We start from the raw sequence: 13,980 nt of genomic DNA on the forward strand, positions 1-13,980 counted from the left end.
CCTAGATGTATCTTGAAGGCGACAGACGCTATGAGGGTTGCAGGTGGAGTGGGAGAGCAAAGGGGGCAAAGAGGACCCCAGGGTTCTGGCCCGAGGCACTGTGATGGCGGAGATGTCATCTCCTAGACAGGAAAGGATACCGAGGGACAGAGAGCTCTGCTTCTCACCTTCTCTGGTCTCTGAAGCAACTTAAATCCATGTGCAGGCAAGTGAGATTCTTGTTTTATACTTGTCTGACAAAGAGCAGGGGAAGGCCAGAAAGGAAACATAGACAGTGGAAATAATAGTCATGTTTTAGGGGAACATACGGAAAACCAGTATTTGAAAGGGACGTTTTCTACCTCAGTATCCTTACAAACATCACATTTTCAGCCAAGTGGTGAAAAATCTACATTTATTTTTTTCCCTCCGAGAACTGGTACTGGCATTAGGCCCTGTTTATCAACTCTTCAGGATCTATGTGTATACTACTCCCATTGTAAGAATCGAACACTCTGGGAAAAAAATTCATCAAAGCTTTAAAACCAAAACCCTCCTCTGATGGGTTCCAGGTTTGCATTAGAGATCATATGATAAGAATATTTTTAAAACTATTTTTTTGTTGTTGTTTTGAGACAGTTTCACTATTGTTGCCCAGGCTGGAGTGCAATGGCACGATCTCAGCTCACTACAACCTCCGCCTCCCGAGTTCAAGTGATTCTCCTGCCTCAGCCTCCTGAGTAGCTGGGACTACAGACACCTGCCACCACGTCCAGCTAATTTTGTATTTTTAGTACAGATGGGGTTTTGCCATATTGGTCAGGCTGGTCTCAAACTCCTGACCTCAGGTGATCCACCCACCTCGGCCTCCCAAAGTGCTGGGATTACAGGCATGAGCCACCATGTCTGGCCTATTTTTAATGGTCAAATAGGTATGGAAAGAACCTTAGAATGATTTTTCTAGATTACACATTAAGGTCTATTTACTTTCCAATAGTTGATAGGAGTTTTATATACACAAGGCTCTGAATCAGAAATGGAGAGTTGAGTGGCCATAATAACATATTGTTATTTGTTGTTGATGACACAGTCATCAAGGGAAACAATGCAGTAATGCCATAAAGTTGTCATATCCTTTGATTCACGAATACATTTGCAGGTGTCTTTCATAAAGAAAACCTCCCAAATGAAAAAAGGCTTTTGGGATAAAGTGACTTTCACATTACTTATACCAGAATAAAAGAAGCAATGAGCAACAGGGCCGAGCCAACCTTCATCGAGTGCTAGCTGTGAGCTCCTTCCTGTGCTTGGCACTCATTTAATCCTCATAAGAATGCTGGGTGCTGGTGATTATGAGCTCACGGTACACACGGGAAGACAAGGCTCTAAGAGGTCACAAACTGTATGTGAATAATTCAGAATCCAAATTCAAGCAAACAAAAACAAAAGCCACGCTTTTCCCTTTACACAGAAGATCATACAACCTTTAAAAGAACTATGCAGATACTGAGAAAGGCTCAGGAGAACAAGGAACAAGAAACTCTGTTAGACTTGTAGGCACTGGACATGATTCTCCTACTCTACTCTTAAAACCTGCCATATGCAATTTATTTTGTTTTGAATATAAAGCTTTTTTTTTTTTGAGATGGAGTCTCACTCTGTCGCCCAGGCTGGAGTGCAGTGGCGCAATCGAGGCTCACTGCAACCTCTGCCTTATAAAGCATTTTCTAAAGGTACAAGCTAAATTTTAAAAATATCTCTACACAACTGATGTATAACAAAAATTAGTTCTACCTCATAAACACGTGGCTCAGCCCTCGGAACACATTTTCCTGTTCTCAACTGATGAACACTCCAAAAACAGAACAGATTTGAGCTTTTCCAGGCCCAGAAAAGCTCGCGAGGGGATTTGCTGTGTGTGTGACAACACTGCCACCCTGTGGCAGCACAGCTCCACACATGCTTTGGGCCGCATTTGCAAGTTCTCTGTAATCCCCCTGGAGACCCGGATCAGCTGGGTGGAAATGCAGGCTCTCTGTAAGCATAGGACTCAGGGCAGCTGAAATTATGGAGTTTCCTTTAAAATGTAGCTTTTAATAACTTTTTCTGAAAATTTTATTTTACTGGTGGGCTTCCCTGTAAATGCCTGCCTCCAATACTGCAGAGGCTTCCATCAGAAACAACGCCACTCAACACGAATTCTGGAAACTTTTTTAGGGCTTTTGCTATGGAAATCACTTCAAATGTAAGCTCCGTCCATCTGTGAAACACTATAATGACACTATTTCTGTCACTGCCTGAACAGGGCAAATGGACAAAATGTCTCCAGACAGGTTTATTTTGTTGTTTGCTTGTTTTATAAGGCAGTGATTTTTAACTCTTTTACCAGAAGAACTTTAACTTTATGGTATCAAGAAATGCAGAGATATCTGATGAAGCATGTAGTAATACCTTTAGATTGGTCAAATTTATAGAATTTGGATTTTTTAAAAAACCAAGAAACCAAGAAGCAGGGCCCATAAAAGGCCAGTTACTTTCAAAAGTTCATTCTTCAGAGAAAGGCCTGCTAATGACTGGTCTGTTGTCCTGGTGAATAACAGAACCAGGATTAGAACCCACGTCACTTTACTCCTACATCAGAACATTTGCACTTTATCAGACTGATATAATAATTTCTTTTCCATTTTTGTGTGCTGAATTGCAAATTAACTCAGGTACCTTGTCTCATCCGTTAGCACAGTTTATCACTGCTGTTTGTGTGACTTAGGAAACAGAGACCCGAGAGCTAACTCACACCTTATCATTAACCGGCATCCACAACTGACTATGTGACCTCCCCGTGTCTTGGAGTCCAGATGTGTGGGATGACGTTAACTGCAGTGTAATCTGTTCCATGCTTTCACAGCTACACAGGCTGAGTTTGAGGAAAATCAATACTGACCATGTCCCCACTAAGCCAGAGTCCCCCGCAGGTGTCCAGTGCAGCCCAGTTTACAGCCTGAGGCACACTTTCTTTCACAGATACAGAAAGGAGTGTTTTCTGGAAAATGTAAAATTCCAGGAAAACTACTTAAAGTTAGTTGAAAGATGAGAATATTTGCTATGATTCAAGCGCCCTTTGATTAAGACAGTGAAGATATATCTTGGAACAGAGTAAACTTCAGTTTCTAAGAAATTCACTAACTTTTCCAGAGAAGATCAAATTTCTTTGACCATCTACATTAGGATTTTTTTAATGCAAATCTATTCTCATAGAGTCTTCAAGTTACAGACATAATAAACCACTTACATTTTCTCAAGAAAAAATAATACATAATAGTATCTGCAAACTTTCTGGAGGGCTCCGGTCAGGTTTACTCACCATTTCAGAACATTTCCTATGAGTGTCAGATGAGCTATATAATTTCTAATCGCTACAATGAACCTACAAAGTGGGCAGTTTAGCAGATGAGGAAAGTGAAGATAGGTTCTGCATGCTGGGCCAGAATTGAAAGCTCGGCTTTAACACCCCAATGATGTAGGCTTGCCCTCGGCCTCCGCCAGGCTAAGCCTCTGTGCTCATCAGAGATTCACTATGACTTGAAGCTGAAGCTGTTACCCTGTTTGCACAAAGACATAGAAACAGCCAGCAGGGGGAGCACCAATAAAGCCAATACTCACTGCAATGTTTCCTGTAAAGCAAGAAGTGCTAAGCTAAGCGCTAAGCTAAGGAAGGAAGGAATTCACAAGGAGATGGATCAGTGTTACATTTTATCACCGGATATACACAAAAGGAGTGCCTCTCACAGCCCAGACAGTGAACTAAGGGAAGGAAGAGCTGCAAAATCCCTTAAAATAGAGGACATTCAAAGCAGCAAAAGGATGATGTGACTCATGCCTCCGTTTGATCCCCTCTTCTGGTAAGATTAAGCAAGCACTGGCATCAAAATGTGCAGACTAGGATCAATGGCGTGGAAAAAATATGTAAAAACAACGGCAGAGTGCTCTTCAGAAATATTACGTCACTAACATCCTTAATTGAAGAGAGCATCATAGCCAACATAAGTAGATATCAATAAATCTGATCAACCAATTCACCTCTGGCATTTGGATATTTTCTGTGTCTATATAAGGAAGATCAAATAAGCCCACACAACTAAGCACAGTGCCTAGAACAGACAGGACTGAAGCAGCAGGCATGGTCATCACTGGGAGCCATTATTATTTTAAGTGCTGTACTGCCCTAGGGCTTGAAACCCAGTATATTCTTATTTATGAGTTAATATTAATCTATCACATTGAAGCCTTATTACTTTGATTCATAGGAAAAGTCACCCTTGATTTTTAAAAGTGGAAAAAATATATCCCAGAAAACACCTCATATCAATAATATAACAAACTTCTTCCTTCTTTCACAGATTCATAGTATTCAATCATGTAGCTATACCACATCTTCATGTACCATAGCTTCATCTACCAATCCCCTCCTGATGGGCATGAACATTGCTTTCATCTCCTGTTGTTACAAATAATGCCACAATAAACAGCCTTACACATGAATCATTTTAGATTTTTGCCAGTGAGTCTTCAGGGTAGATTTCTAAAACTAGGATTTCTGTGTCAAAAACTAAATGTATGTGTAATTTGGCTAGATACTGCCAAATTCACCACCATAAAGCTAGCACTTTGCATTTTGCTCAGCAATGCATTTAAGGGCCCCACAGTTTAATGAAAAAGGTGTAGTAACAAACTTTTGGGCTTTTGCCAATCCCATAGGTGATGAACAGTGTTCACTGTAGTTCATTTACATTTCTCATTATGAGTAAGAGTTTTATCTCTTTCCTTTATTTATTTTCATTTTCTCTTTTTTGTCATTCAAGAGGGTTTTTTGTTTGTTTTCCCTAAAATCAAATTTATTAATATTTTCTCTGAGGTCAAATTTATCAATGTATTGAAAAGGATAATATCAGAGAACATCTTAAACCTAGAGAAAGTTACCGATATCCAAAGAAGGTAATAGAATACCAAGTAGATTTAACCCAAATACTACTGCAAGGCAGTTACTAATGAAACTCCCAAAAGTCAAGGATAAAGAAAGGATCCTAAAAGCAGGAAGAGAAAAGGAATAATATACAATGAAGCTACAATATGTCTGGCAGCAGACTTTTCAAGGGAAAACCTTACAGGCCAGGAGAGAGTGACATAACATATTTAAAGTTCTGAATGAAAAAATACTTTTACCCTAGAATAGTATATTCGGCGAAAATATCCTTCGGACATAAAGGAGAAATAAAGACTTCCCTCAAACAAAAGCTGGGGAATTTCTCAAATCTGACCTACAAGAAATGCTAAAGGGAATACTTTAATCAGAAAAAAACAGACATTAATGAGCAATAAGTAATTACTTGAAGGTACAAAACTCACGGGTAATAGTAAGAACACAGAAAAACACAGAATATGATAACACTGTAACTATGGTGTATAAACTACTCTTATCCTAAGTAGAAAGACTAAACAATGAATCAATCAAAAATGATAACTACAGCAACTTTTAAAGACATAGACAGTACAATAAGATATAAATAGAAACAACGAAAAGTAAAAAAGTGGGGAGATGAAGTTAAAGCATAATTTTTATTCATTTTCTTTTTGCTTATTTGTTTATGCAGCGTTATGTTCTAAAATAGTATTTGCAAGCCTCATGGTAACTTCCAACGAAATAACATACAATGGTTACACAAAAATAAAAAGGAAGAAATTGAATCATACCACCAGAGAAAAACACCTTCACTAAAGGAAGACAGGAAGGGAGGGAGGGAGAGAGGACCAGAAAACAGATAACAAAATAACAGGATTGAGTCCTTACTTATCAATAACATTGAATGTAAATATACTAAACTCTCAAAAAACAGACTGGCTGTATGAATGAAAAAACAAGACCCACTGATCTGTTGCCTACAAGAAACACACTTCACCTATAAAAATACACCTCAACTGAAAATAAAGGGATGGAAAAAGATATTCCATGCCAATGGAAACCAAAAAAAGAGCAGGAGTAGCTATACTTAGACAAAATAGATTTCAAGACCAAAACTGTAAGAAGAGATTAAGAAAGTCATTATGTAATGATAAAGGGGTTAATTCAGCAAGAGCATATAACAATTTTAAATATACAGGCACCAAACACTGAAGCATCCAGATATATAAAGCAAATATTATTAGAGCTAAAGAGAGAGATAGGACCCAATAAAATAATATCTGGAGATTTCAACACCCCAATTTCAGCACTGGACAGATCTTCCAAACAAAAAGCAACAAAGAAACATCAGACTTAATCTACAGTGTAGATCGAATGGATCTAATAGATATGTACAGAATATTTCATCTAATGGCTGCAGAATACACATTATTTTCCTCAGTACATGGATCATTCTCAAGGACAGACCATATGTTAAGTCACAAAACAAGTCTTAAAACATTTTTAAAAACTGAAATAATATCAAGCATCTTCTCTGACCACAATGGAATAAAACTACATATCAGTAATAAGAGGAATTTTGGAAACTATACAAATAATGGGAATTAAACAACATGCTCCTGAATTACCACTGGGTCAAGGAAGCAATTAAGAAGGAAATTAAAAACCTTCTTGGAACAAATAATAATGAAAACACAACATACCAAAACCTATGGGATACAGCAAAAGGAGTACTAAGAGGGAAGTTTATAGTCATATATGCCTATGTCAAAAAAGAAGAAAAACCTCAAACAAACAATCTAACTATGCATCTTAAAGAATTAGAAAAGCAAGAGCAAATCAAACCCAAAATTAGTAGGAAAAAGAAATAATAATCAGAGCAGAAATAAATGAAATTAAAATGAAGACAATAATACAAAAGATCAATGAAACAAAACGTTGATTTTTTAAAAGTTAAACAAAATTGACAAACCTTCAGCCAGATGAAGAAAAAAAGAGAGAAGATACAAATAAAATCAGAAATGAAAAGGGAGACATTACAACTAACACCGCAGAAATTCAAAGGATCATTGGTGGCTACTATGAGCAACAATATGCCAATAAATTGAAAAATCTAGAAGAAAAGGAGAAATTCCTAGACACATACAGTGTACCAAGATTGAATCAGGGAGAAATTTAAAACTAAAACAAATTAATAACAAGTAACAATATTGAAGCCATAATAAAAAGTCTCCCAGTAAAGAAAAGCCTGAGGCCTGGTGTCTTCACTGCTAAATTCTCCCAAACATTTAAACAAGAACTAATACCAATCCTATTCAAACTATTCCAAAAAACAGGGGAGGATGAATACTTCCAAACTCATTCTATGAGGCCAGTATTACCCTGATACCAAAACCAGACAATGACACATCAACAAAAGAAAACTACAGGCCAATATCTCTGATGAATATAAATGCAAAAATCCTCAACAAAATACTAGCAAACTGAATTCAACAATACATTAGAAAGATCATTCATTGTGGTCAAGAGACATTTATCCCTGGGGATGCAAGGATAGTTCAACATATGCAAATCAATCAGTGTGATACATTACATCAACAGAATGAAGGATAAAAACCATATGATCATTTCAATCGATATTGAAAAGCATTTGATAACATTCAACATCCCTTCATGATAAAAATTCTCAAAAAACTGGGGATAGAAGTAACATATCTTAACATAATAAAAGCCATATACAATAGACCCACAGCTAGTATCTTACTGAATGGAGAAAAACTGAAAGCCTTTCCCCTAAGATCTGGAACATGACAAGGATGCCCACTTTCACCACTGTAATTCAACATAATACTGGAAGTCCTGGCTAGGCAACCAGACAAGAGAAAGATATAAAGGGCATTCAAATTGGAAAGGAAGAAGTCAAATTATCCTTGTTTGCAGATGATAGGATCTTACATTTGGAAAAACCTAAAGTTTCACAAAAAACCTATTAGAACTAATAAATTCAGTAATGTTGCAGGATACAAAATCAACCTACAAAAATCAGTAGCATTTCTATATGCCAACAGTGAACAATTTGAAAAAGAAATTAAAAAGTAATCCCATTTACAGTAGTCAAAAATAATATTAAATACTTAGGAATTAACTAAAGAAGTGAAAGATCTCTATAATTTAAACTATAAAATACTGATGAAAGAAATTAAAGAGGATACCAAAAAATTGAAAAATATTCCATGCTTATGTATTGCTAAAATTTCCATACTACCGTAAGCATTCTACAAATTCAATGCAATGTCTATCAAAATACCAATGACATTCTTCACAGAAATAGAAAAAAAAATCCTAAAATTTATATGGAACTATAAAAGAGCGAGAATAGTCAAAGCTATCCTAAGCAAAAATAACAAAACTGAAGGAATCACATTACCTGACTTCAAATTATACTACAGAATTATTATAACCAAAACAGCATGGTACTGGCATAAAAACAGACACACACACCAACAGAAGAGAGAACTCAGAAACAAATCCACATACTTACAGCGAAGTCATTTTCAACAAAGGTGCCAAGAACATACACTGGGGATAACAGCGTCTCTTTAATAAATGGTCTGGATATTCATATGCAGAAGAATAAAACTAGACTCCTACCTCTTGCCATATACAAAAATCAAATCAAAATTGATTTAAGACTTAAATCTAAGACCTGAAGCTATGAAACTACTACAAAAAAAATTGGGGAAAATCTCCAGGATATTGGTCTGGGCAAAAATTTCTTGAGCAGTACCCCACAAGTATAGGCAACCAAAGCAAATATGAACAAGTGGGATCACATCAAGTTTAAAAGCTTCTACACGGCAAAGGAAACAACCCACAAAATGAAGAGACAACCCAGATAATAGGAGAAAACACTTGCAAACTACTCATCTGACAAGGGATTAATAACCAGAATATATAAGGAGCTCAAACAACTCCACAGGAAAAAGTCTAATAATCCTATCAAAAAATGGGCAAAAGGCCGGGCGCTGTAGCTTACGCCTGTACTCCCAGCACTTTGGGCATGCTGGTACATGCCTGTAGTCCCAGCTACTTGAGAGGCTGAGGCAGGAGAATCACTTGAATCCAGAAGGTGGAGGCTGCAGTGAGCCGAGATCGCACCACTGCACTCCAGCACCAGTGACAGAGCGAGACTCCGTTTCAAAAAAAAAAAATGGGCAAAAGATTTAAATAGACATTTCTCAAAAGAAGACATACAAATGGCAAACAGGCATATGAAAAGATGGTCAACATCAATGATCATCAGAGAAATGCAAATCAAAATTACAATGAGATATCCTTTCACCTCAGTTAAAATGGCTTATATCCAAAAGACAGGCAAAAACAAATGCTGGTGAAGATGTGGAGAAAAGGGAACCCTCATACACTGTTGGTGAGAATGTAAATTGGCATAACTATTATGGAGAACTGTTTGGTGGTTCCTCAAAAACCTAAAATAAAGCTAGCATATGATCCAGCAATCCCACTACTGGGTACATACCCAAAAGAAAGGAAATTAGTATATTGAAGAGATATCTGCATTCTCCCATGTTTGTTGCAGCACTGTTCACAATAGCTAAGACCTAAGTGTCCATCAGCAGATGAATGGATAAAGAAAATGTGGTACATATTGTAAACCAAAAATGAAATTCTAAGGCTCCCTAACCATCTGAATGGACCCCTCTTCTCAGCCAAGGGGATTCCAGAGTTAACTTAAAAATCTAGTTCAGGCCATGACAGAAGAGGGGGTTGGACATGCCTCATTACACCCTCCAGCATTAACATCAACTCAGACCTTAAGTCTGCTAGGAAACATTTACAATATATTCTCTCTGAAGCCTGCTACCCGGAGGCTTCATCTGCATAAAACCTTGGTATCCACAACCCCTTATTTTAATCCAGACATTCCTTTCTACTGATAATAATGCTTTCAACAGACTGCCAATCAGAATATGTTTAAATCTACCTATGAGCTGGAAGTCCCCCAACACCCTGGTTTGAGTTGTTCTGCCCTTCCAGATTGAACCAATGTGAATCTTACGTGTACTGATTGATGTATTATGTCCCCCCAAAATGTATAAAAGCAAGCTGTACCCCAACCCCCTCAGGCACATGTCGTCAGGACCTCCTGAGGCTGTGTCATGAGTGCATCCTTAACCTTAGCAAAATAAACTTTCTAAATTGATTGAGACTTATTTCAGTTACTTTTTGGTTTCCAATATACACAATGGAGTGCTAGTCAACTATGAAAAAGAATGAGATCTTGTCATTTGCAACAACAGGAGTGGAACTAGAGATCATCTTGTTAAGTGAAATAAGGCAGACACAGAAAGACAAATACCACATGTTCTCACTTATTTGTGAGATCTGAAAGTCAAAGTGACTGAACTCATTGACAGAGAGTAGAAGGATGGCACAGGTAGTGGGGAACTCACTGGGGAGGTGGGGATGGTTAATGGGTACAAAAAAGTATATAAAGAATGAATAAGGCCTACTATTTAATAGCACGACAGGGTGTCTATAGTCAATAATTACTTACTTGTACATTTTTAAATAACTAAGAGTGTAACTGAATTGTTTGTAACACAAAATATAAATGCTTGAGGGGATGGATACTCCATTCTACATGATGTTATTATTTCACATGGCATGGAGGCATCAAAGTATCTCCTGTACCCCATAAATATATATACCTAGTCTATACCCACAATTAAAAATGGATTAAAAAAACAAATTTATCAATGTTTTCCATTATCACATTTGGATTTTTAGTCATAATTGGAAAAGCATTACCCACTCTCATTATATAGATGAATTCACTTATATCTTCTGCTAGTATTTATATGGTTTCCATTTGCACACTTAGATTTCTGATTCATTCGATTTTTTTTCCTACTGTATACAATGAAAACATCTACACTTTTCTTTTTTCCTTATGGCTATTCGATGATCACAACTCTACTTATCAGTTTATTTCCCCCCACAAATTTGATGTGTTGACCCTGTTGTATACCATGCTTCGATATACAATTAGCTCTACATGTTCTATTCTGCTTCATTGAGCTAGTATAATTGTAATTATAATTACTGTAATTATAAAGGTGCTAAAACCTATTTTTAAAACTGGTAAGGCTTACCCATTCCTCATGCTTTTCGGGGTTTTCCTTATTCTTGCTTATTTTTCCAAGAAAACTTTATAATTAACTTAGCTCTGAAACAAAACCTGACACTGTGATATATATATATATATATATATATAAATATATATCACATACATATATATATGTCACATATGTATCACATATATATATAATGAAATATAATTTAGCCTTAAAAAAGAAAACAATCCTGTCATTTGTGTCAGCGTGGATGAAACTGGAGGACATTATGTTAAGTGAAATTATCCAGACATAGAAAGAAAAATATTCCATGCTCCCATATGTGGAATCTAAAAAGTTGATCTCACAGAAGTAGAGAGAAGCTGGAGAGCGGAGTAGAAGGATGGGGAGAGATTGGTCAACAGGTACAATGTTACAGTTAGACAAGAGGAATACTCTCTGGTATTCTATCATACAGTTGTGTGACTACAGTTAATAATAATGTATTACACATTTCAAAACAGCTAGAAGAAAGGGTTCTGAATGTTCTTACCACAAGGAAATAATTAATGTTTGAGGTAATGGATTTGCTACTTATCCTGATGATGACTACACAATGTGAACATGTATCAAAACCATCATACTTTACCCCATAAATATGTACAATGATTATGAATCAATTAAAAATAAAATCAAATTTAAGAAAATTTTAAAGAGCCATTGCCACACCCTCTTTTCTCCAAAAGAGTGCCTATGAGCAAAAGAGCCTTAAGTATAATTGTCATTTTATAAGTCTTAATAAGGCATTTTTTTCTTATACCTGCCAGAAGTTAATATCCAGTGTGAATGAGTAACAAATCACTTTGCAAGTCGGATGGCTCCCAAATTTTAGCTATTGACAAATTTGAAAGATAATCTAATCAGGTATCATTCAAGGATCATCAAAGGATCATTCAAGATAATTTTTGAGGACAGGTCTCTATGTGATTTTTGGCATGTTAGATCCTGAGAACTTGAGGAATTAAAAAGCACTGCTATAAGAGAACTTTTATCCTTATATACTATCTATGTAAAGTGTTTCCTGGGGGCTTACTTCAATAAAAATGAAGAGTCACATAATTAATGTTGAACCTTTTCTTATCAGTAAATCACGTTCAAACACAATGGATACATGAAATTTTTTAATTGTCTTTCATCTTATTAATGTCTTTTCAAGAAAAATTTACTTTCCATGTTTAACAATTATGTCAATAGTTGTAATATATTTATACTGTTTTGATTTATTTTGTAATTTTTATGAGAACTCATCCCAGAAAAATATTCTTCTACTTACAGTTTTATAATCACATCAAATAAAAAATATAACTTAGATATTTTAATTTTATAACATATTTTACTTAAAGTCCGTATTAAAGACTTTCAAGCATAAAATATGAATTGAATAGAATAAAATTTTACATGGGGACTGACCTGGAAATGTGAAATCAAGAAAATATAAACTTTCTTACTGATACAGAAGAGTCTTTCCATGTAATTTTTAATAGGTGATAGTAAAGATCCAACTTTTATTAGATACATTTAAAATGTCAATATTTATAAGATGTCATGAATTACATTCTCTTGAGTATTTGAAACTATGAAGAAACTTTATAGATGCCAACTGTGCAATGTGAGGGCACAGGTAGTTTTCAGAAATCCTTTCAAAGGCTCCGTGAACAGAGCGTAGGCTCAGAGTTTAGCAGCTGAGAGCTATAGGGTTGGAAAACAGGACTGAGTAGCTCCAAAACCACCAGGCTACTCCTTATGATGGTAGTTTCGGGAAGCATGAATTCAATTACCCTAATGAAGGCTTCTCCTGATCACACTGACTGGCAAATAGAAAAGTAGAAACTAAAATATTCCACGTATTCCAAAAGTAGCATGGGCAACTAAAAAAGAATCAATAGGCGGCTTTCGACTCTATCTAGACTACAAAAAACAAATCACCAAACTAAACCAGTCTGTGATTTCACTATCTGGAAGGTCGCGCAAAGCAAGAAGTTCCAAGCAATTAGCGGAAGCACCTGCTGGGGCATTAGTACTCACGTTCAAACCCCTTCCTGGGGCAGCCCTGGAGGTGTCCTCATCGCTGTCTGCACCCGACAGCACGAGCTGCTCAGCCTGGAACACAAGCACCAGGCCACATCATCTCCAGGTGAAAGTTCAGACAGAAAACATAGTCCTTAGCGATCATTAAGGCAAAAATGCCAGTGTGGCCACAAGGCAGCAAACCCTTCACTTAATAGGTGTAATCTTTACCACTTCTGCCAGTTTATGAACAGACCTGAACCAAAGTGCTCCCTGATTCGGAAATCACAATTTTGAAATCCACACTCATAGGAATGAGTTTTCTTTCTTTCTTTTTTTCTTTCTTTTCTTTCTCTCTTTCCTTTTTTTTTGACAGTGTCTTGCTGTGTCGCCCGGGCTGGAGTGTAGTGGCATGATCTCAGTTCACTGCAATCTCCACCTCCTGGGTTTGAGTGATTCTCCTGCCTCAGCCTCCCAAGTAGCTGGGATTACAAGTGTGTATCACCACACCCAGCTAATTTTTGTATTTTTAGTAGAGACAGGGTTTCACCATGTTGGCCAGGCTGTTCTCGAACTCCTGACCTTGGGTGATCTGCCCACCTTGGCCTCCCAAAATGCTAGGATTACAGGTGTGAGCCACCTCACCCAGCAAAAATATGCAATTTTAAAACAGTAGTGGGCCTGAAGTGATGGAGTTAGGTCAGCAAGCAAATTAATTAGGTTTTGAGGACTTCAAAGTTTTTTGTTTTTTGTTTTTTGTTTTGAGCAGAGTCTCACTCTGTTGCCCAGGTTGGAGTGCAGTGGTGCTATCTTGGCTCACTGCAACCTCTACCTCCCAGGTTC

The 13,980-nt window shown here is 36.8% G+C and overlaps 1 protein-coding gene across 23 annotated transcripts in view, besides 2 other annotated features; it reads right to left on the bottom strand.

The window, feature by feature from the left end:
* Window positions 1–13,980, bottom strand: part of COBL (cordon-bleu WH2 repeat protein) — a 300,598-nt gene that overhangs the window by 143,089 nt on the left and 143,529 nt on the right. For 11 of the 23 annotated variants that reach the window (XM_047420080.1, XM_011515240.1, XM_047420077.1 and 8 more), the window contains one exon: window positions 13,156–13,230. The exons of the other annotated variants lie outside the window; for them this stretch is intronic. In XM_047420080.1, coding sequence (XP_047276036.1) covers window positions 13,156–13,230 — 75 coding nt within the window. The remainder of the gene's footprint in view (window positions 1–13,155; window positions 13,231–13,980) is intronic. 23 annotated transcript variants of the gene reach the window in all.
* Window positions 1,732–2,026: an enhancer, noted in NCBI's record as "tiled region #13396; K562 Activating DNase matched - State 12:CtcfO". NCBI's record gives its function as "activates a minimal TATA promoter and a strong SV40 promoter by Sharpr-MPRA in K562 cells {active_cell/tissue: K562}" and the evidence as "EXISTENCE:reporter gene assay evidence [ECO:0000049][PMID:27701403]".
* Window positions 8,324–9,523: an enhancer, noted in NCBI's record as "MED14-independent group 3 enhancer chr7:51235321-51236520 (GRCh37/hg19 assembly coordinates)". NCBI's record gives its function as "activates an origin of replication core promoter dependent on BRD2, BRD4, P300/CBP and CDK7 cofactors, and independent of MED14, by STARR-seq in HCT116 cells {active_cell/tissue: HCT116}" and the evidence as "EXISTENCE:reporter gene assay evidence [ECO:0000049][PMID:35650434]".

Source organism: Homo sapiens, chromosome 7 (assembly GCF_000001405.40).
Source record: "Homo sapiens chromosome 7, GRCh38.p14 Primary Assembly".
Taxonomy (NCBI): Eukaryota; Metazoa; Chordata; class Mammalia; order Primates; family Hominidae; genus Homo; species Homo sapiens.